Source organism: Homo sapiens, chromosome 2, assembly GCF_000001405.40.
Source record: "Homo sapiens chromosome 2, GRCh38.p14 Primary Assembly".
Classification (NCBI taxonomy): domain Eukaryota; kingdom Metazoa; phylum Chordata; class Mammalia; order Primates; family Hominidae; genus Homo; species Homo sapiens.
Window position 1 is genome coordinate 84,448,530 of NC_000002.12, and position 24,184 is coordinate 84,472,713.

General features: G+C 40.9%; 2 protein-coding genes across 3 annotated transcripts in view, besides 2 other annotated features; one reads left to right on the top strand and one right to left on the bottom strand.

The window, feature by feature from the left end:
- SUCLG1 (succinate-CoA ligase GDP/ADP-forming subunit alpha) overlaps window positions 1-10,751 on the bottom strand; it is a 35,753-nt gene extending 25,002 nt beyond the window's left edge. The window contains exons 1-2 of the mRNA NM_003849.4: window positions 10,644-10,751; window positions 1,120-1,223 (exon numbers count right to left, since the gene is read on the bottom strand). Coding sequence (NP_003840.2) covers window positions 1,120-1,223; window positions 10,644-10,740 — 201 coding nt within the window. The 5' untranslated portion in view covers window positions 10,741-10,751. The remainder of the gene's footprint in view (window positions 1-1,119; window positions 1,224-10,643) is intronic.
- Window positions 10,788-10,927: an enhancer, noted in NCBI's record as "active region_16099". NCBI's record gives its function as "activates an Ori minimal core promoter by ATAC-STARR-seq in GM12878 lymphoblastoid cells {active_cell/tissue: GM12878}" and the evidence as "EXISTENCE:reporter gene assay evidence [ECO:0000049][PMID:35858748]".
- DNAH6 (dynein axonemal heavy chain 6) overlaps window positions 11,043-24,184 on the top strand; it is a 360,018-nt gene continuing 346,876 nt past the window's right edge. The window contains exon 1 of one of the 2 annotated variants that reach the window (XM_011532650.4): window positions 11,043-11,146. The gene's annotated coding sequence lies outside the window, so the exon portion shown is untranslated. The remainder of the gene's footprint in view (window positions 11,147-24,184) is intronic. The other variant, XM_011532649.3, reaches the window with a different exon arrangement.
- Window positions 11,108-11,297: a silencer, noted in NCBI's record as "silent region_11686". NCBI's record gives its function as "represses an Ori minimal core promoter by ATAC-STARR-seq in GM12878 lymphoblastoid cells {active_cell/tissue: GM12878}" and the evidence as "EXISTENCE:reporter gene assay evidence [ECO:0000049][PMID:35858748]".

Consider the following 24,184-nt stretch of genomic DNA (forward strand, 5'->3'; position numbering starts at 1 on the left):
AAAAAAAAAAAAAAATTGACTGCTTTTATCTTGCCATATCTCCTTTAATAATAAAAAAAGGGATACTTTGGGTTAAGACACGTGGTTATACTCTAATTGATTTGATAGTATTCCCTTTTAAAAAAATTCTGTGCATCTACTATGGTGGAAGAATAAATCTGTTCCAATGTTTTAAAGTTCAATTTAGCAGTAGCTATTAAAATTGTAAATACACAGACCATATAACATCCAATTTTACTTTTAGGTATCTATTTTATAGAAATATGGATTGTATATATATTATATGCTGGATAACGTTATATAAATATATATAATTCTATATAATAAATACTACAAAACACATATTATATAAATATGTTTGCATGCACAAGAAAAATATCTGAAAGGATACATGCCAACTTGTTAACAGAAGGAGTTCCTGGGGAGTAGAAAGGTAGGAAAAAGGAAAGAAGATTCTTATGTGGCATTTTATTATAGAATTGCATCACAGATATATTTATTTACACTTACACAAAATCTATGAAAAGAACAGGAAAGAGTATGAGAGAATGAATATAAATAAATGACAACAAATTAAAACACTTCAGGCAATTCTGCCTGCTAGTCCCAGGCCATCATCCCAGAGAAAGTATAAGATGAAAAAAGTCAGTGGGCGGGTTCTTCCCTTGTCTCAGTATCCATGAGCCTCTCTGGGTTTGAGCATTTCTCCACACTGAATATGGATTCTGTGTTTAACAATACGGTTTTTTGTCTGTTTGTACAAAACCTAAACACAAGAATCTAGTTGACCTAGTGCTTAGTCAAAGAAACGGTGATCTCTTTCAACACTGGAGGAAAATCATTAGTGTTGTATTTGCTGAAAGAAAGTGTATGGGCCTCCAAAACAATATACTCCTAGTAAGCATACAATATACTCCTTTGCAAGGTAAGTTTAAACACAATTTTTATGTTATAGGCTGACAATAGCAACTAACCTCCTCCTGAGATACAACCCCATTGCTGTACAGTATATTTTTCTGCAACAATCATGTGTTATTTTTGAGATATTAAAAATAAAAAAATAGTTAATTTGTTATATCTCTAGTCTACATTTGAAAATAAAAATCTAGATATACATACCTGTTTGCCAGTGAAACCCTGGCAAATAATCTTTGTATTTTTATCAACATAGAGATGTTGCCGAGAAGCTGTGTAGGAACAATGCCGAATTCCATTCTGCGGCACTAAGAGGTTAAAAAAAAAAAAAAAAAAAAAAAAAGACACATTATAATTTTTCTAAACTTTTGAACAATAATTCAACTTGATCACAAAAAAAAAATTCTTTAATGCACGCGCTATCCTGTGATCACGGCAAACCTAAATGCCACCTTTTAAATAAGACACAGTGACCACAGAAATAAGAAAAACAGACAAGACATTGTTCCATTCTCCAGGATCCTCTCTTTATCAAGAACCACGATCTTGTAGTTTTTTCCTGAACTGAGGGAAAAAAAAGCAATGTTTATCATTTTTATTTCCTAGAAAAAAACTGGGGCTCAAAGATAAATGGTTAAAATTAAATCCAGGGACTGAAAACAAAATGTCACCCCTATTAACAATGTTTACTAAACAGCCACGTTTCCCCACTTGACCCAAATTTTTAAAGCCTAATACCTTTAAATAGGTAAGCTAAGAGGCAAACTTTGTCAGGAATACAAGTAAAAATCACTCAGCAACTCATTCTCTAGTAAGAACAACATATTAAATGTTAAGTCATAGGATAAAACTTATCTAAAATATAATACAAAATCACTTAATCTCTTCTGATATGAACTCATGTATAAAAGACACAGGGAAAATAAAACAAATAGGAAAGTAGACAAGACAGGAAAAAGCTTGTTAGGAAAAAAAAAAAAAAAAAACCCTAGGTTATTGCAGCAACCTACCTAAAAGAGAAATTGAGAAATCTAAATAGTTACTACAACCAGCTCCCCACATTTCAAAACACAGTAGGAGGAACATAGATGACTTAAAATTTTGGGCTACCTTCTAAATGTCCATTAATACTAACAACCTGACTTCTCTGTGGCCCATCCCTGGCCCTTTCAAAGTAGCCAGGCCTTCTACCTATCATTGTGGTAGCCCATGAAGCTAGCCCAAGAAAAGAACATAAGGAGTAATCTCTATTGAACAACAAAAAAAGAACACCTGTCACATATTTGCCCAGAGTCCACTCCATGCTTTCTGCCTTAAATCACTGCCTCATACCCACCTAAGTCCTGACCTCACATTACATAACTGAAAGAGCAACAACATCTGCTTCTGGAGGAAGTATATGGAATCCCTTACACCTCTAGGGAGAAGACAGGCCCAGATTTAGCCCTTACCACCTGGATAATATTTGGTACACACAAAGAACTGCTACGTAACAGGCAGCTTTCTCATACTAGACTGTGCTCAACAAGGGGCCATGGGCTTTGCAGGTCAAGTTCTGGCACATCAGTCACAGCTAAGCATCTGACTCTAGGCCAGTGGACACAGCAGGGATTTATGGCCTGAGACCCTGTCCCTACTGAGCTGTGCAGCACAGCCCACCCTTGCCAGTGCTGCATTCGAGACCCATTCTTGCCCTTGGCTTCCACTTCTCCCAGCTGAACACCTACAACCATGGTATTTGTGTAGAAGCTACACCCTTTCCTACCCTGCTACAATTTCTGACTAGTGGAATTGGCTTTACCAGTCCCTCCCATTGCATCTTCAACAAATGCTCATATCATATCATATCATATCATACCATATGTTTTCAGACCAGAAGGTAGAAGATTTGATTATAAGATCAGATGTTATGATCAGGATATCTGGAGTCCCTACTTGTTAACATAAAATACTTTTTGTAGGTAAAGTTTGGTTCTGCACAAGTACTCTTATACTCACTAACTTAACAAAGATCAGACAATTCACTTCTCCTTCCACAGGAGCAGAAGTCACCCTGAGAAAAGGCAGGTCTGTCTGTGTCCCTAAAGCACAGCTCCAATAACAGACCAACGAAGATCTCTGCTTTCTCGTAGTAACTCCAGATCTCCTGGATCAATTCTATGGAGCTCAAGATTTTACAACATCAGATCTTTGGTGCTCATAAAAAGTGTATCAGAAGTGTGATAAACAGCAGCTTACCTCCCAATCCCCTAGCCTTTTAGTGTTACTCAGCCTGTGCAATGCCCCTGAGAGCCTGCAGCATCTAATTAACTAAATCTTGGGAAACCTCTAATGCACAGGTGTAGATGTGTGTGCGCTCATGCATGTGTGATCTCCCCATCTACACACCAGGCCTGGGCTCATACAGACCCACTTCTAGATAAGCTGGAACTAACAGACTATTATCGTCTTACAGGCAAATCCAAGAAATGTATTCAATGGCAAGGAAGTGAAATTCCTGATCACATTCCATCCTGACAATAAACCTGTATGATGCCAGACAAGGTTATCATCTGGTACTGAAATGTGAGTTCGTTCATTGATTCAATCAACATTTGAGGAGCACCCATACCAAGCCATAATGTCAGGTGTCAAGGATAAAGTGATGAATGACAGTGTCTCAGCCCTCAAATAATTCACAATCTATCTGAACTCATATAAAAGTGGGCCATAACTGCGTGGTGTGTGAAGTACTATAATAAAAAAAAAAAAAAGCCTTGGGCATTTGGGGTGGATAAACTCCCCACACCTATTCAAGGTAGAGAAGTCTATGAATGTGTAAGAGGTGGGGAGGGTGACAAAGCCACCAAATTACTACAGTAAGTGACTTCCTAAAGTGAAATTTAGAACACAAGGCATACATTGGTGGCCAAACCATCTTGCAAATATCTCTTACCTTTCAATTAAAGATTTAATGTCCTCAACTTTCTGAGAATTTCACTTACATTGATCCATATAAATTAACATTTAAATAAAACATTACACAGTCAAGAATTCCTATATCTTCACACGATATACATGATTTATGAGTATACTGGGGGACTTTAAAAGGGATCTGAGATTAAGAAGAATAGAAGCTACAAACGCTTTCATGTGGGTATACAATAAACACCATCACACACTACATTACTGAGTGCACACATATTCTTACTCTTTTCATCATGTTATTTTTAAGTGAAATTATCTAAGCTTAAATTTATTTCAAGACTATTTCAAGTACCATCTAAATACTTTTCCCACTGCTAACTGTAAACTCCATGAGTGTCAGGACCATGTCTTACTCATCTTGTCTCCTATGGTATATGGTCAGTGCCTTACACACAGTAGGTCTATGGGAAACATTTCACTGAATTCCAGGACAAGAAACAGGGTCTCCAAAAGAAACACTTCTACCAAGCTAAACACCATAAGGTTCGTCTCTTTTTCGGTGAGTTGGAAAAAGTCAATCTTGAACTCCCACGTATCAGCAAAGAGGGAAAAGAACCCTATATCTATTTTTGTACATATAAAGATCATAGGTTTCCCTAAAATTCATATAGAGACTGCATGGAAGTTCGGCCCTAAAATGCTTCTGGCGGTCCCCAAAGCTACATTAATCTAGTACAAACGCCATGCTGACATTTTTTTAAATAAATAAAACCCAAAAGCAATAATACAAATTGAATCTTTACCTACATGAAAAAAGCAAGCATTCAGACAGAGTGAAACACACCATAGGCAGAGTTAAAGGCAATGACAGACCAGGGGAGTGTTTTCCTAACATTTAACAGACAAGGAATTAACGTGAGCAACATGAAGAGCCAACAAAAAGTGGAGCCCAAAGCCTAAGAGAAAAACTGATAAAGGCCATGAACAAGAAACACAATGGATGACAAACTGCAAATCCATATATGATGAGATGCCTAGCTTTACTAATAAGAAGAAAATAAGTATTATTATTATTTTTTTTGAGACGTTGTTTTACTCTGCAGCCCAGGCTGGAGTGCAGTGGCACGATCCCGGCTCACTGCAACCTCCACCTCTCGGGTTCAAGCAATTCTCCTGCCTCAGCCTCCTGAGTATCTGGGACTATAGGCCCACATCACTACACCCAGCTAATTTTTTTGTACTTTTAGTAGAGACGGGGTTTCACCATGTTGGCCAGGCTGGTCTCAAACTCCTGACCTCAAGTGATCCGCCTGCCTTGGCCTCCCAAAGTGCTGGGATTACAGGCAGGAGCCACCATGCCCAGCCGAAAATAAGTATTTTAAATTAAATATTAGAGCAGGAAAGGTGAGGTTGGCCACCAGGAAAAATTTCTGATGGCGAATGCTGTAGTTGCCACATCCTAGGCCACCTCCTTCTTTCCAGATTCTTAGAAATTGTCCAGCTTAACCTTGGGACTGCGTCCCAGGAGCAGCTGAGAACATCATCGCAGGAATCAGACAGGCCTGGTCTTGAGTTTATGCTCTGCCTTCCAGCAGCCATGTAACCCAGAGCATACCTTTTGATCTCCCTTAGCCTTAGTCTTCCCATCTAGAAGTGGAATAACAGCTGCCCCTGGGAGGCTGTGATATTAATATGAAATTACTCCTTAAATTGGCACCAGGTAGCACAGTCTCTGGTACACTCCCAAAACTGGGTTTACAACCCTACATGAACACAAAGGCAAATCTATCCCTAAAAAGAGAGAAAAAATAGTTCATATTTTAAAATCAAATAAGTCTAGCCAAAAATGTTTTCTACATGTCCTTGTGTACATCTTATATGTTTATTTATAAACATACTAATCCATGTCTGCATATAATGTGCAGTATGCACAAATATACCTCTAAGTTTTTAACATATAATACATTTGTAAAGGCGCAGCCCTCACTGTAAAACACGGACAATAATAGTATCTCCTTCATAGGCTGATGTGAGAATTAAATGAGTTAGTAATATATAAAGCATTTAAAACAGATACAGCAAGTGTTATATCCCTAAGAGCTTTTTATTAGCGTTATTATTACCGATGCAGAATGAGCAGACCAAACTGCTTTGAGATGTTGACTGTGACAGGCTATCTGTCAGGTGCTAGGGATTCACAGGTGAACAAGACAGGCTCAGGCCCTACCCACATGAAGTTTCCTGCCCTGTAAAAGAGCTAAACATTGCACAAAAAAAAACAAAACTACCAACAGTACAAACTGTAATAAAGACAATGAAGGAAAGAGGCTGAGTAATCTGAGAGAGATGTGTTTTCAACAGGGGTGATAGATTTGTACCTGTCAGCCACATACTGGTCCTCTTTACCACAGATAGTAACACATCATTTATAAAATGGCTGGTGGGATGAATGATGCAATCTATGGTCAAAGAGCACCTGCCCAGGAGAGACTCAAACCATGGGCCTTGTATGACCAGTACCATGCTCCTAACCAATAACCCAAGGCTCTATTCATGAAATACTCAATACTCCTTCAACTCACCTCTCAAACTGTGTCCCTGGTAAACATTTATTCGTGCACGTACTCATGAATTTAACAAATGTACACTTATTAACCATATGTATTATGCATATGTAAGACACAGGCTACTGCAGTCTACACCTACAGGACCTTATAATACAGCAGAGTAGCTAGCAGCCACTTACCCCTAAACTCCAAACAACCCACTATTCAAATGTTAAATTATATATTCATTTAATATTGACTTACGAGTGAAGTTTAATAAGCTGTAAGTACCATATTTCATCAAATATAAAACACCATTGATTTTTAAGAAGTACTATTAATTACTGGTAAAAAAGAAAAAATGAGGCGGGCGGATCACCTGAGGTCAGGAGTTTGAGACCAGCCTGACCAACATGGAGAAACCCCGTCTCTACTAAAAATACAAAATTAGCCGGACATGGTGGCACATGCCTGTAATCCCAGCTAGTCGGGAGGCTGAGGCAGGAGAATGGCTTGAGCCCAGGAGGCAGAGGATGCGGTGAGCTGAGATTGTGCCATTGCACTCCAGCCTGAGCAATAAGAGCAAAACTCTGTCTCAAAAAAAACATATATATCAGTAATAAGACACAACCTAATGTAAGAAATGTTATAATGTAAAAAAATGTGGGTCTATCACGCCTGTAATCCCAGCACTTTGGGAGGCTGAGGTGGGCGGATCACAATGTCAGGAGATCGAGACCATCCTGGCTAACACAGTGAAACCCCATCTCTACTAAAAATACAAAAAAATTAGCCAGGTGTGGTGGCGGGTGCCTGTAGTCCCAGCTACTGGGGAGGCTGAGGCAGGAGAACGGCTTGAACCTGGGAGGCGGAGCTTGCAGTGAGCAGAGATCACGCCACTGCACTCCAGCCTGGGCGACAGAGCAAGACTCCGTCTCAAAACAAAAAAAAAAAAAAAAAATGTGGGTCTATGGTATGCCAGTCCCCTGATGAAATGAAATTGTTGCCCTGTACTTAAATTATTTTTAATATTCCCAATTACATTTCTATGGAGAAACAAATTTGATGTCAGAAAATCAAATCACTTTCTCATGGCTACACTGGTACATCTGAATCAAGGCTATTTTGTATTTCTGAAATAAAGATTTGGTTATTACATGCAATGGCAACAGATGCTAATATCCACAACATCACTGTTGAGGATCTCATTTTCCAAACTACACTTTAAATGCATCTCTGATTCGAAAAACAGGCCTACGCACTTGGCAAACACGGGGAAAAGGAAGGCAACACCTTTGAGCAGGATAGTCACCTTCTCAACACATCACTAAGACTGCCAAAAAAAAATCAGAGCTTCGAAAAAAGCTTAAGTTATCACATGGTACATGCTGGCGGAAAGGATACTGCAGAGTCAGAAGACCTGGGTGCTAGTATCACTTCTGATACTCACTGGAAACTTTTGGGATTTCCTCATCTGCCGTACAAAGGTATGGGACCAGTTGGGTTTTAAGGTTTACTTTCTGGCATTAAAATACCAAAATTCTGAGGTTCAAAAATACTGGCTTTTATTCCCTATTTATTCTAAAAGATTCAAGTTACAGAAACTACTGACCAGTTTTAAAAAGACCTTGCATTACTTTATGCTTCTCTTAAAACTTCACTATTTCAACTTCAAGGGTGCTTATGAAATCCTTAAACTTTCTCATGGAAGAACTCTTCCTCATTTTTCATTGTATTTTCTCTCTCCACTTCAACTGGATCCTTTTCCTTTTTTCTCTTTTTCTGAGACAGAGTCTCACTCTGTTGCCCAGGCTGGAGTACAGTGGCACGATCTCAGCTCACTGCAAGCTCCACCTCCCGGGTTCAAGCAATTCTCCTGCCTTAGCCTCCTGAGTAGCTGGGATTACAGGCGCCTGCCACCACACCTGGCTAATTTTTGTATTTTTAGTAGAGACGGGGTTTCACCATCTTGGCCAGGCTGGTCTTGAACTCCTGACCTTGTGATCTACCCGCCTCAGCCTCCCAAAGTGCTGGGATTACAGGCATGAGCCACCGTGCCAGGCCACTTTTCCTTTTTTCATAAGCTATAAAACAGGGCTCCGGAAGGCATCTACCAGTGTTCACTTGAGTTTTTTCTGTGGCTGTTAACTCTAATCAATATTGCAACACTATGACCTTCAGCAAGTAATGTACCATAAGTTGAAACTTAACAGAGGGAACAAAATTCCCTAACATCTGTAGCTCTATTAGCTTCACAGACTAAATAATTTCTGGTCCCTTTTTAAAAAAAAAGTTTGCAAGGTGATGTTGTAGCTGCTATTTTTCTAGTGGGAGTGAAAATGGGCTCGGAAATGTGGCATGGGAAAGAGGAGTTAGAGTTTTGTGAATTTAGAGGTGTTTACACATTAAGCATTGTTGTCTGTAACCCCTCTTAATATAGAATACATCTTGGTTTAAATCTCAGACCCGTAATAACAAGTTAATCACATGACTTGAATAATTCAAGCCCACTCCAGTAACAAAACTAAACCAGATGGTCACTCTAGGGCCAAATGATCCTGGGAGTCTAGGAAGAACACACTTCCAGTTCTGTGGGAAGAGGATTGAGAGGACTGCTAAGGGTGGAGTAAGGAACTAGATCTTTTAGACACTCTTCCTTTATTCTCTAGATTTTTCTAGACAGCAGACCTACCTGAGGCTAGGATCTTTCAGAACCTCAGACTAGCAAGACCACAGAAGCGAAAGACACAGGTGGGCAACTTCTTCCTAGGGTTTCCCACCACAGTGGCTGTGCTGCACATCTGATCTTCTACATTCTAACCCACTATCTATTCAAATTAAGCTGGTTTAAAACCATATCCAATATACTTCATTCTTGGTGCTCAAACTTTATTGACCTGAGTGATTACTGGGTATAATGAATTCTTTTTGTCCTTCTGCCTACAACACTCTCAAGAATCTCCAGAAAGCTTTACCAAACAAACCATTTCATACTTGCTAACGTTATCTAGCCAGACCTTTGTCCTCAAGTGATTGGCAACTAAGTGTTAGCTATTGAGTGCACACTCATCAATGTACACTTTCAGAATGTAATCTTCTCAAGAAAGGAATTAAGTCTCATAAAATATTCAGTACAAGCAGAATTAAGAGCAAAGCGGAAAAAGAAAACTAACTTTGAGTGTTTGTTACATACGAGATGCTTTATATAAATTGCTCCACTTATTCTGCAGTGAACCCAGATCATCCTGTACATCATCATTGCTAAAATGCACATTTTTTTTCACTTTTTAAAAAACCAGGATACATGTGACAACCACTGGTGTGTCACAGTTTTAATAAGCAATCGTTCTTCATTGTTAGTGGTAAACAAAATAATGGTCCACCTTACAAGTGATGGTGCTTCAGGCCCCTTAAAATGTGTTAATATTTTCATGTGATTGGAAACACTGAAAAACAGATTAAGTGTCCAGGGTTATTACACAGACTGAAAAGGGACTAGCCAGACTTCAAACCCTGATGTGGCTGATTCCAAAGTTTCTTTCTACTATAACCTACCTGACAAGCACAGAGACTTTGAATATGGCAAGAATTTTCCATAGTCAGCGTGTCTCAAAGACTAGCAACCTTGGGTACTAAGTTTTCGGGAACGGATGTGTCCACAAATCGCCTGGTGGAGACACTGCAAATAAGCTGGTTTAGGTCCCAGCCAACCATAAGCTTCTAGTAGTCTATGCGGCTATGCCGACCCCACTCCGTGTGCAGAAACCATCTTTCCCTGACATACAATCCTGCAGAGGGGGAATTCGAAGTGCAGGACCTTTCCGTACTAGGGACAGCCTCATCCCCCAACTTCCTACTGAGACACTCTTCCTCTACCTCTCAACCCAGACCCTTACCTTCCCCACCAAGTTCACCTTGGACCTCTTCATCCCCAACTCCAAATAAGGCCAGTCTAGACGCCACCCCCATCCTGTCATTTGTCACCGCGGGGCCGAGAGCAAGCTCCCAAATTTGCAGGGCTCCCGGACCCGAATCCTGGCTCAGCCACCCAATATCTCCATCTGCCAGCGGCCTAAGTCATGCCCCCCGCCCCACGTATCCAGCAAAGCTCCTTCCACCGTAGGGGTCCCCGACTCGAAGCCGGAATCCCAAGCGGCTCCCAGGCCCCCGCCGAGGTCCAGCCCTGAGGGCCCAGCCGCGGCCTGGGCCAGGAGGTTGGGTCCGGCGGGGCCAATAACCCGCGGGCGCCAGGAAGACAGTACTGGCTGGACTCACGGAGGAAGCTGCGCGACAGGAGACGGGCGGCGGCGAGGCCGCTGCTGCCGGAGACCATGGTAGCGATGTCAGCGGCAGCGGCAAGGGTTGCGGTCATACGCCAATGACACTCCCAGGCCCCCGGGGACCTCCCAGGGGCAGAGGCCGGAGGAGGCAGAGGGTGGCCACAGCAGTCGCCTGAACAAATTTCCCTTTACAGAGGATTCTTCACGAAACAGCGGGAATGGCAGGTGAAGACAAAGAGGCATCCTATCGGAGAGGCAGATAATAACTCGGCTCCTTCCTAGAAATGTGGGTTTGATTAACATTAATTATAACAGCAGCTGAGGGAAAACCCCACGCGAGACTGGCCAGCGCGTGGCATTGTGGGCAATGTAGTCTGACGGCCGCGACTGGTTCGTAGCTTTTGAGTGAGGCGGCGGGAAGGGAGCGAGGGAAGAGCGGCAGTGAGACCGGGGAGACAAGGGACTTGAAGACTAGGAGGGAAGAAACAGCGAGGTGAGGTGCGAAGAGCAGTGCCAGAACTTTGTATCCCAGGCCCATCTCCTTCCCCCTTCGTTTTCCTCGTTTGCTATTAGAGAGAATAATATTTCTCACCGCGTACCTGTGCCTGGACCCGGAAGGGTTGCCGCTGGGGACGGGAATTCGAACTGGCACTGGTGGCCTGTGAAGGGAAAGATGTGATGAGAAAGACCAAAACCTATCTTACTGACAGTTAACTTCTTGGAATGTGAATTTTTTTAGTTAAATAATCATGCAGTCTTTGACTAGCACTAAGTGCATGAGTGTTTATTCCCTGAGGATCCTAAGGGCTGAAATTCGAGGTCAAATGTGACTTTGCTCCCTGATTGGACAAACAGTTCCCTCTTCTGTAACAGCTTTAGAAGGAACCTCAGAGAGTCCCAGAGTCAAAAGGTAAACAAGAGATGAAGTAATCTGCGTCTCTGCCGAAAATCGTGCTCCTGAGATTCCTCATCAGAATTGTCAATAAAATTGCAATCCTAATTTACTTAGGTAGTCATTATAATTGGCACTGAGCTGTGGGATGGATGAGTGGGATTACCCCAGGAGATTGCCCAATACTTCCTTTATGATCCAAATATTGTCATTAACAGGTTGGACTTCACTGCAAATAAACTCCTCCCTCATGGATCATGTTCTTGTGATAACTAAATTCCTCAGAGTTAAATAGTATCAGTGGTTTCCAGATATATCCATTATAACAAAATGGACATTTTTATGGCAAATAAATAGAAAATCCCTTGCTATTTTAAATAGCAAAATTATTCCTGAGCTGTCGCTTGATAAGTTATATGTTTAGTTTCATTTAATTGATAAAATGCATGATGACAAAAAATATAATTTCAGTACACTTTTAATGAAAATTTGTATTTCCATGAAGACGGGGATTTTTGTTTGTTTTGTATCCTGGAGTATCCCCAGCACCTAGAACAATGCCTTACACAAATAACTCATCGTTGAATTGAATTGATATATATAGGAGAAATAGTAGTATATAGATTATTTTTTGGATCCACAGGCAATGTTTGATGGACTTAGGATATTTCAACCTCTTGTAATAACTGCACCCCTGTGGCAGACCAGGTCTCACTAACGCAGGCCTCCATAACAATGTTTCAGTGCTGACTGAGTGGTTAAGTTAAATATTAAAAGCCAGTGCCCTTATACAAAGGCTGAGATGTAACAGAAACCCACCAAGGGTTTTGCCTAGGCCTTTCCTGGGCCTTGAAGCATGACAAATTAATGAAGAAATTCTTAACAGGACCCATTTAGGATTAAACAAGTTTTATTGGAGGTCCGAAGAAACTCCCCAGGCCTCCACAAACAAGTTTATTGGAGGTCTGAAAGAACTCTCCAAACCTCTGTGATTTAGCAGGGGATAAGATAAGGGTAATCACCCCAGCACCTAAACCCATGTAGATTAAGTAAATTTATTGAGGCTTCAGAGGATGGTCTTCAGTACTCAGACCTTAGTTATAGATTAAAAGAAGTTAATCACTTATGTCTTTAGATAAATGCACACTTACAAGTAAACATATAGCTTAGAAGGTATATAAGCTCTGGAAAACTGTAATTTTAAGTTGGTCTGATGATAATTTCCAGGCCTTCTCCCTGTAATCGGTTGCAGAAATAAAAACTCTCTTCCTCCCCAGTTCATCTACATCTCATTATTGGGCCACAAAAAATAGCAGCCCAACCCTCAGTTTGGTCCGGGAACACCCCTACCTCAATTCTGTAGCTCATAGGTAGGGGACAACCACACTAGTCAATACCACACCACTCATCTTTGTATGCAGATTGAGTTTGGAAATCAGACAGGTCTGGGTTCAAATTCCAACTCTGCCACTGGCTACATGACCTCTGGGTTTCAGGTTTTATTACTGAGATGGGTATGAAACTCCCTATTTCATAAGAGTGTTGTGAACATTTAATACATTTAGTATATAAAGCTACTGTCACCTTGTACCAAATAGTCGATAATGGTAGTTATTATCATTAAAGAACTGTCTTTTTTACATGGCAGGATCATGTTTTAAAGGTTTTAACTAAAGTGAGTAACCAAATTAGAATAGGATATTTCTATTTGTCTCAAAACTTTGTCTAAAGCTCTAAAGCTGAAGACAACAAGCCTTACCTCCACATCCATAAGGAGGGCAGTCTAGGAGCTACTTCTCTCTGAAGTTTGATAGGAAGTGGCCAAACTTGTCTTTGAATTCTCACCCCCACATCCCAGCCGGCTCAGATAAGCAAAAGACTAGAATTCACTGTATGAGGGTGTGAAAGGAAAATAAATCTCGGGACCCCAAAGTCATCAAGCCAAGAGAAAAGTCCAGCTGGGAACTGCCTGAGGCAAACCTACCTCCCATTTTATTCCTAAATAATATAGCTACAAAGATAATAAGCTACATACCTCCCTCACAATTTGCCCACAGGAAATTCCTGGTGGATAAAGGACAGGCAGAACTCAGTCATCACTCTGAGGCTCACCTGAGACAGATGCATATCTGATTGCTCCCTCTGCCCTATTGTTTATGTAAAAATGCAGATTCACTGAGCCAGACTAAATTGTGTATTCAGTGGAAGGCTGATCAAGGACTCAAAAGAATGCAACCTTTTGTCTCTTATCTACTTCTAACCAGGAAGTCCCTGCCTTACTGGATGGACCAATGTACATCTTACAAATATTGATTGATATGTCATGCCTTCCTAAAATGTATAAAAGCAAGCTGTACCCCCAACCACCTTGGGCACCTGTCATCCAGACTTCCTGAGTCACGAGTGCATCCTTAACCTTGGCAAAATAAATTTTCTAAATTGACTGAGACCTGTCTCAGATATTTTGGATTAACAAGGGGACTGATGCTTCTGAGTCTACAGTTGGCAGTTTAATGTTCTTGTTTCCTTCCACTCCCAGCCAAGTTTGTGGGTGAGGGCTTCTTACCAAAACATTACTGGTATTAAATCTCAGGATAAATCCCTATAGAACTGCAGAAATTCATGAGTCCACCTTAGTTAGCTAGATAGGTCTTGGTCAGAGAATGCTTGAGGAAACCTGAATTTGGAAGGCAGGCCTAACTGTTAAGGCTATGTCTGCCTCCTTCCTAGAGAATTGCAATGGCAGGAAGCTAGCTGGAGCAGTCCTCATCAGCAGGCAGGGCAATATTTGGTGTATCAAGATGTGTTAATATTCCTGTGAGTAAAATGCATACCAAGAAAGAAAGTTGAACCTCCCCCTGAGAGACATGCCATCCTCTGAGGCAAGGAACCCTAGCATAAAAGACTGTAGAAAACCCCCAGAGGGAGGAGGAAGGCAGGAAGAGTTACAAGGAGGCCAGCCAAAGAGTACCTAACTCACGTCAGGATACTGTGCAGGGGAGTGGGGGAGGAGTTTCTGAAAAATCCATGAAGTGCTCAGAAAGAGCCAGCATTCCAAAGAGAGAATAGAACATCAGGAGAGAACCACAAATAATACCATCTAAGAGATTGTATCCAAACCAAACCCCACTACTGCAGGAACATACAGCAAGGGTGTGAAGGGAGGAGGAGTAAAAGAAGAGGGGGAGACAGACCTCAGCCCCTTCCTTCCCAGCTGCAGGTTGTGGAGCCACAGATCATGCCAGACCTGGGAGGGAGGGAGGAGCTTTAAATTAGGTATAAGTTTGAAGTTTTTAATTGGATTGGATGGAACCTTTAGTTGTTGGTTTTTGAAATAGGTAATTTATTACCGTGGATGAAAATTCAAAAGGTACAATAAGTATTAAAATATAAGCAGTGAGAAATCTTCCTTCTAGTCTCCCCACCACCTGGTTCTCCCAAAGGGAAGCCAGTACTATCCAGTTTCTTGTGTATCCTTCCAGAGCGTTTTTTGTGTGTGTATTCAAGCATATACATATATCCCTTCCCCCTACCCCACCCTTCCATGTTCTCACTAATGTGTGAATAAACAGGGACAATTAGAGATATGTGCGGAGTCAGGAGACTCAGCAGTCTGGGTGGCTGGTGTGTAGAGTAGCAGCTCCAGGGGGTATCTTTTCTGCAACCAAGAATCTTGACAAGACTGAGCTAAGTAATGAGTTTCAATCTGTTGGAGCAAAGTCTCTCATTTGCATTTTTTTCATTTGCATTGTTTTTAACGAAATAAATTCATTATAGTCCCTCATGTGTGGAATCCAGTCAGAGCAGAAGGGAGAAGAGTTGACCAAGATTTGGAGTTTTCTGCCTATTCGATAAATTTTGGCTCCTTATGTTGAAAAGCAATTATAGTTCTATATCTTACCTTGATTTTTTGTGACCCCCCATTCTACCAGAATGTCAGATTCTTTTCCTTTCACCAGAGTTTTGTCTAAATTCCTGGAGTGATGCTAGGGTGAGGTGGATGTAGTGTAAGGAGTACTTTGTCTTCTGTCTGTGCTGGCATCTCCTGATACATACATCCTTCTATCTGGTCCTTAGCTGTGGTCCAAGCTACTGCTGCATCATCATTTACTCCTACTTTGAAGGCCTGTTTTGCTCTGATTCTGTCAGCTCTCTCTGGGCTCTTCTCAGGCATATGAGAACCTTTCAGCCTCCGTGGGCTACAAGAAACATCCCCGCTCGCCAAAACATACCATTTAGCTGCATCTTGCCACCAGTTTGCATCCTTGCTCTGACATGCACTCTTGCTGTCTTGCTCTGTCTCTCCTACTCCCCCAGAAGTTCCAGCTTTGTGGACTTGTTACAAGACAGTGGTCCTGATCCAGATCCCAAGAGAGGGTTCTTAGATCTCATGCAAGAAAGAATTCAGGGCAAGTCCACAGGGCAAAGTGAAAGCAAGTTTATTAAGAAAGTAAAGGAATAAAAGAATGGCTACTCCATAAACACAGCAGCCCCGAGGGCTGCTGGTTGCCCATTTTTATAGTTATTTCTTCATGATATGCTAAACAAGGGGTAGATTATTCATATCTCCCCTTTTTAGACCATATAGGGTAACTTCCTGATGTTGCCATGGCATTTGTAAACTGTCATGGCACTGGTGGGAGTGTAGCAGTGAGAATGACCAGAGGTCACTCTGGTCACCATTTTGGTTTTGGTGGGTTTTGGCTAGCTCCTTTACTGCAAACTGTTTGATCAGCAAGGCCTTTATGACCTGTATTTTGTGCTGACCTCCTATCTCATCCTGTAACTTAGAATGCCTTAAGTGTCTGGGAATGCAGCACAGTAGGATTCAGCCTCATTTTACCCAGCTCTTATTTAAGATGGAATTGCTCTGGTTCACACGCCTCTGACATTTCCCCCCTCCCTTTTATAAGAGAACCCTTAATTCTAAGGGTTGTAGAGGGGCAAAGATCCATATTCTCTAACTTCTTCAGGCTGAATGAGGCAATGATATTCCTGCCTAACTGTGAGGGTCTCTTGCATTCAAGGTAGAGAGGAGCTCAGTCAGAAGGCCTCGTTATGGTAAGGTCCATTCATAACGCTTGAGTTTTGACAAAAAGTGATATCTGGAAGATTAGTAAGTGTTTAATTTAAGAAAACATTCAGGCTGGGCGTGGTGGCTAACGCCTGTAATCCCAGCACTTTGGGAGGCTGAGGTGAGCAGATCACGAGGTCAGGAGATCGAGACCATCCTGGCTAACACAGTGAAACCTCGTCTCTACTAAAAATACAAAAAATTAGCCGGGTGTGGTGGCAGGCACCTGTAGTCCCAGCTACTTGGGAGACTGAGGCAGGAGAATGGGGTGAACCCGGGAGGCGGAGCTTGCAGTGAGCCAAGATTGCACCACTGCACTCCAGCCTGGGCGACAGAGTGAGACTCTGTCTCAAAACAAAAAGAAAAAAAAAAGAAAACATTCAGTAAGCTTGTCCTGTATTCCCACACAAAGAGTATAACAGCAATATATTCCACAAGGGTAAACAAGTAAAGTTATTCCAAGAAAACTAAATTAGAAAGCTTTCCATGGACTGGGCAATTGAATTGTTGGAACCAAGCTGATACGGGGTTGCTAGATGATTCCAATATGTGCCCAGGATTAGAGTATTGATCCAAATTTTTACATTACCCAACCCTCTTGTTTCTTCTGAGTAGCAGTCAGAGATTACTAGTTGTTTCACAGGAATAAGCAGGGTTAGCCTAAATTGCAAAGACAAACTTAAAAACAATTGATAAGACTAGAATCTAATAATTCCAATTTTTACTAAAGACAAAGCATGATAAGACCAATTTGTTTTATTATACTTGGCCTGATTATTTGTATAAAGTACAGCAAGAATAATTATTTTTCATGTAAGCTCTTTTTAAGTTGGCTTTGATGGAACTCTCTTCCATAGAACAATCTCAGATAAGACTTTTTTAAAGCCGAGCCCTGCCATAGGTTTTTATCCTCAAATACCTATGAGTTGGGTAAATTTCTCTCCTTTTGAGGTCCCAAGGTAACCTGGGGCTCCTGGACCTGTGAGAACGTGGCATTCTTTACCTACCGTTATTTACTTAACTTCTTTACTTACAGGCCAGAAACCCTGTACAGGGATTGTGTAGGCAAGGTATGAGGCCAGTTCCCCAAAGGGCTTTTATTGGCTCTACAAGTCAAGTTTGATTCCTTAAAGGAAAGCACACCATTCCAGTCAAAGCCTTGGTAAAATAATCAATTTCTCCAATTGTGTCCTGTTACAAAAGAAAACAGATTCTTATTGCACTTATGCAAATAACTATATTGCTATAAATTAAGAATACTCTCAGTTTCCAAATTTTGGAGAAATCAGGTAGAGAGAAACAAATATGCTGCAAATTTTGTTCACAGTAGCTTACTCTACTCAATTGCTAAAACCTGTAAATAGCTCAAAAAAAAGTTTCCTCGATTCTGAAAAACAAAACAAAGGATCAGCAATATTTTAAGCAAAGTTAAAAAGATTAGGCTTCTTCAGCTTAGTTCATGTAGTTAACTTCTGTTTAATAGTTATGAACATTATAGCTCTCTATGAGAGTTCTGAAAATGTTTTCCTCTATTCTGATGTCACAGTCTCCACTTATCAGAAAACCTGCATTTAAGAATACCAGTTAGAGTTCTATAATTGATTATAAACCAACTTCTAAAGAGGATTAAAACAAGGTAACAATCATTTGTGGATGACAAAACGTCTTAGGATAGCCACAGTTAAAAACATGATTGACAAAGAAATTTGGTTACCTCTGTGGCATACAATAATTCAAAACAACAATTATAATCATTACTGATAATGTACACTAAGTCATATCAAAATTATAGGAGTTTCCCATAGTTTTGGAACACATATACCAATAACACATTTATAGAAATACAGCCCAAAGAAAACCAAACACCGTTTTTACAAATTTTTGTTAAAGAGCAGATCATAAGCAGGTTTTTGCTCTAAGAAAAACCTGGTTTGCATTTATTCCAATGTTCAGTTTACAGAAAAACTGAATACCCCTTTAACTTTAGCCAGTGTGTTCACGCAGAATCTCTTTTACAATTAATGTTTCACAAAACTTTTACAACTTGCTTAAACCTTCAGATTTATCCTAACTTAAAACAATCCTTTAATCCTTTAATCTAGGCAAGAAAAATCCACATTCCCATGCCTTCTTACAATCTTTTTTTTACCATAAACACATTTTACTTTTCTTACACATCTTGCATATAAAACTGTTTCTTCAAGAGTCTCAATTACATGTTACAGTGTTAACGCTTAGCAACTTTTATTTTTGATGAAAACCTTGACAAGTTCAAGATTTTAATTATGTGCCAGGTGTGGAGCCTAGCCTAGGAGACAACAGGCAGAAGTGCAGATAAGAGCTGACTCCAGCATAGCTAGGAGGCTAACTCCACATGTCCCAAGGCCGTACCTTACTTAAGCAAGCAAGTTGTAGAGTGAGAGTCATAGTGGCATTTTATGAGGCATTTAGGAGGTCTAACAACCTTTGAATTGTACAACATTTCTTGCATAAACCCTTTCATGGCTTACACAGACCATCTGAGACATTCTTGGACTTTCTGACTTGCCCTAAACATCCCTCCTTTTAAACAACCAGTCATTTTACTTTAGGACAAGAATTTAACATATGAGATCCTTTCTTATATAAAATCTCTCTATTTATAATCTTTGTGTAGCTAGGGGACATGGCTAATTCCACATGTCCCCAGGCCTTATCTAGAATCTAATGGCTTTAAGGTAGGTAAATTGAACAATTTTTAAAAGTTAAAGAGGTGGTTTATGACCTTAAAGCATTTAGCAAACTTAATCTGACCTGCATAATTTAGACTAAATGTTTTTCTTTTATCAATAATTTTTAATAAATTGAACACTTTTTAAAAGTTAAAGAGGTGGTTTATATGACCTTAAAGCATTTAGCAAACTTAATATCTGACCTACATAATTTAGACTAAATGTTTTTATTTTATCAATAGTTTTTAAAGCTGTTTTTATTTCCCAAAGATTACTAAAGTTACCTGAAGTAAAAAGCGTTAGTTTTTATTTAACTTTCAAAATATTTGATTTAAGTGCTTATTTTTATTTAAGGCAATTAATTAGAGTTTTTTTATATAAACATTACACACAACACATATATAGCTACACACAAAGACAGAAGAAGATTACTACAGTAGTTGTAAGATTTTTCATTTGCCGGTTTTTAAGTTTCTTAATTGGATTACTAGCTTTAGGGTGGAGCCCTTGGAAGAACAGGGCCAGGAAAGGGTCTGTGGTGCCTCCTGTTTACCCCAAGGAGTCCAGGCTGTTAGAGCTTGAATATCTGTTTTTAACTAAACTGATTTTAACCATAGCACTCTTTAATAAAGCCCTTTTAGAATTTCTTATGCCAAATGACTGATATTTCTGGCTTTTGAACTTTACCAAAGATAACCTCCCAGGTGCTTAGAGAAAAGAAAATTTAAGACAGTACAGGGAGGAGAAGAGAATAGACAAGGTCACGCATATATTAAATCAGAGATTACTTACTTCGTAGGTGGGGAATCAAACCTGGATTGCCACTGTGAAAGTGCAAAACCTTGGCTAGTGAGCTACAGCATGGGGCAGTCTCCATTTCCTTTCCTAGAAGAAGTCTAGGGTCATTAATTTTGAGTTTTCAAAGACTTTTAACTATTTAATATGATTTTTTAGAGCTAACTATGACATGAACCCTAAAATTTCTGTTCCCTGGAAGGCAGAGACCAAGAGAAAGTACCGCCACATGATCAAAAGGTCAAGCTTCCAAGGACATATAATGAGGTGGAGACTTCATCCGGTTTTTTTGTTTGTTTCAGGGACCTGCAGCCAAGTTTGTTACTGACCAGCTTGTTGGGTTGTCTTGAAAAGTGGGCTTACAGGTGTTCTAAGCCCATGTTTTATCCTAAAGTACCCCTTGACACAGAAAAACAAATTCATAGCACAAAATATACCAGCTTAAGACTAGCCTTAGAATTCTTTTTCTCATTGATCAAAATTTTACAGAGGAGATAAACACTGATTTTTTTTCCCATTCGTTCAACCGTTTGCACAGAGAGAGAGAAGCCAGAAATCTGACTGGTAAGAAATTCTTACCCTTTTGCCAGCATGCCAGGTTTCTGGGTTCTCTTTCCCTGAGTGGCCCTAGTGATCCAGCTTGTTGCACCATCACCCTGGGGGCCAAGCCACATCATAAAGGAAAAAATTTTTTTTTTCTGGCCAAAGCAAAATACATGTGATAAAACATAGTCATTAGCCACTCTGCTTAGCACCCATTATCAAACTGGCAAGGCTTAAATTTGCCCCTAGATGGGCCCCGTCATCTTTAATCCAACCTCTGACGTGGAGTTTCAACATGTGGTCTCTGGGCAAGATGGTTGCCCTGAGTAACAGAAAATATAGGAAAAGAAAAGTAGAGAAGTAAAGTATTGCCTGTGGCAGCGTGGGGAAGGTGAAGCACTTAGGGAGGCCAGAGAAAAGACCCCCTCATTGCAGCCAACAATGAAAAGTACAGTTGGCCGCTTGTCGGTAACAAAGGGATCTTTTCCAGCAGTCCCATCAGCTCTCAAATTTCTCTTTTTAGGGAGGAAAAAGCTCCCCATGCCCCACAATCCTGTACCTGCCTAACCCTGTAACCCACAGCCAACAGCAAAGCATGCAAGGCAGATTATTCCAAAGAGAATAGCATTTAACATCCTATAGTGCCAAACCTGTACTTAGCCAAGAGGGACTTTACCAAATGGGGCCTCTAACCCCCTAAATCTTAGAAAGGACTCTAACCCTCATAAGTTGGGCCTTTAACCCAACGTTGGTCAAGCATCCTTGCCTTTTATGAAGAGGGGCCTCTAACCCACTCTGTCTTAAGGAGAGACATTAACTCTCCTAAGTTGGGCCTCTAACCCAATCCCATTCTTTACCTGAGTATATGCACTCCACTTACCCAAAGTCAGCCAGTCGGTGCATGCAGATGATTTTCCTATGAGTCGGGGGTCTCTTCAGTATCATCCCTTCTGTGGTTCGCCAGAAATATGTTACAGGACACCAACACTTACCCAAAGGTAGCCATTGGGTCAGGGTTTCTGCACTATAGTCCCCTATGGGCTGCCAGAAATATGTTACAGGACAAAGGTCCCAATCCAGACCCCAAGAGAGGGTTCTTGGATCTTGCACACAAAATAATTCAGAGCGAGTCCACAGTGCAAAGTGAAAGCAAGTTTATTAAGAAAGTAAAGGAATAAAAGAATGGCTACTCCACAGACAGAGCAGCCCTGAGAGCTGCTGGTTGCCCATTTTTATGGTCATTTCTTGATGATATGCTCATCAAAGCTTGGGTTATTCCTGATTCCCCTTTTTAGACCATGTGGGGTAATGTCCTGACATCACCATGGCATTTGTAAATTGTCATGGTGCTGGTGAGAGTATAGCAGTGAGGACAACCAGAGTGACCTCTGGTCAGCTGGTTTTGGTATGTTTGGGCCAGCTCCTTTACTGCAACTTGTTTTATGAGCAAAGTCTTTATGACCTGTATTTTGTGCTGACCTCGTATCTCATCCTGTGACTTAGAATGCCTTAACCATCTGGGAATGCAGCCCAGTAGGTTTCAGCCTCATTTTACCCAGCTCCTGTTTGTTGGGGTGATCACACCCAACACCAGGTCATGGGGGCGACGAAGTCCGGTGGAGTCAAAGGATTGAGAAAAAGACAGTTTGAGAGAGAAAGTGGGACCAGGGGGCCATCGCAATTGTGGAGGCTGCAAAGGCCCCGAGCTCTGGGAGCCATGCTATTTATTGGTAATCCAACAAAGAAACAGCTGATGAGAATGTGGGGGTCAAAAGGGCAGGCACATGATCTACAGCTGTGACAGTTTAGCATTTATATGGAACATGTTCTGCTACTTGAGATAATGGGCATACAATTGATCTAGGAGCCTGGGAGGGCTAGAAGCAAGGAGCCAGCAAGTCTAGACACATTCCAGAGGACATTATGTCAGACATGCAAGCCCTGCCTCAGCTTTTTTCCCAACACTCAGCTTTTTCCCAACATGCTCCCCTTCTCTTTTTTGTAAAGGAGAAGGTATCATTATTACTATCATTATTACTAGCTATCATTATTACTAGCATAAAATGTGGCCTCTTTTAACTGAGCAAGGCAATTGCAGGCTGTGCAGCCCTTAATTGCTGCTCAGTGCTCCAGCTTCATTTTTCTTAGCCCTTATTCAAAATGGAGTCGCTCTGGTTTGAATGTTTCGCACATATCTCCCCTTTCCCTTTTACAAGAGGACCCTTAATCCTAGGAGTTGCAGAAGGATGAAGGTCCATTTTCTGTAACTTCTTCATGCTGAATAGGGGCGATGATATTCCTGCCTAACTATTAGGGTCTCTTGTATTCAGGGTAGAGAGGAGCTCAGTCAGAAAGCATTGGTCCATTAAGCATTGTGACTCTGGTCGGTCCTCATTCCATCCTCGCATTCAGATTCAACTGGCTCATACAGGGGTAACCCCATCCATGGTTGGATCCATGGGTCCCTCCAGTCTCCCGTTCCATGGTCGTACACATCTTGAGGGCATCCACGTGGTTCGTTCATCTCCTGCAAAAACACAAGCATACCCTTACCCCCACGTTAGTAAATCTACTGAAACAGAAGCAAAAATTTTTGTGGCTGTAGCCAAGAGGCCACTGATAATGAGAAACAGACCCCTTCTAACAGAAGGCACAGAGAAAGCAAATCAAGGCTTCTCAAACCTTCAATTCACACTGTACAGGTGGGTCCACTAGATGCTGTGGCTCATGATAGATCTTCAGATGTTTGGTGGGCACCCACACAGGCACCTCATGGTCACCTGGAGAGACACAAGCAAATCCTCTTCCCCATATAATTCTTTCCTCTTTCCCAGCTCTTAGTATGTGCATCCCTCCACCATATATCTTGTCCAGCCTTTTTATTTTCCTTTTGTCCTGTCAGGTGTTGTTTTGCTGCAGTTATGGGTTGATCTTTTTGTAAATTTAAAAAATGTAATGTTAATAAAGCTAGATGCAATTGCATATGCAGTGTTTTATGTTCCTGGTCTCCTGCCTTCTGCTTGTGTATTTGAGTTTTGAAAGTATGATTAGCTCTTTCCACTATTGCCTGTCCTTGTGGGTTATATGGATTACCCATAGTATGGGCAATATTCCGTTGTTGAAAGAAGGTAGCCATGGCTTTACTACACTATCCTGGCCATTATCAGTTTTGATTTTTTTTCTGGGATTCCCAAAACACAAAAGCAAGATAAAAGATGTCTTTTAACATGAGCTGTAAGCCTCCCCTGTTTGACATGTGGCCCAGATAAAATGTGAATAGGTATCTACTGAAACATGAACAGAGGACAATTTTCCAAAAGCAAGAATATGTGTTACATCCATCTGCCGAGGGAATTTGGAGATAAACCTCTAGGGTTAACTCCTGTTCCTTGATGTGGCAAATGCAGGACTTGGCAGGCAGAACAGTGTTGCACAATTTCTTTAGCTTGTTTCCATGATAGATCATATCTTTTCCTAAGGCCTGCAGCTTTAAGATGGGTTAAAGAATGAAATGTTTGTGC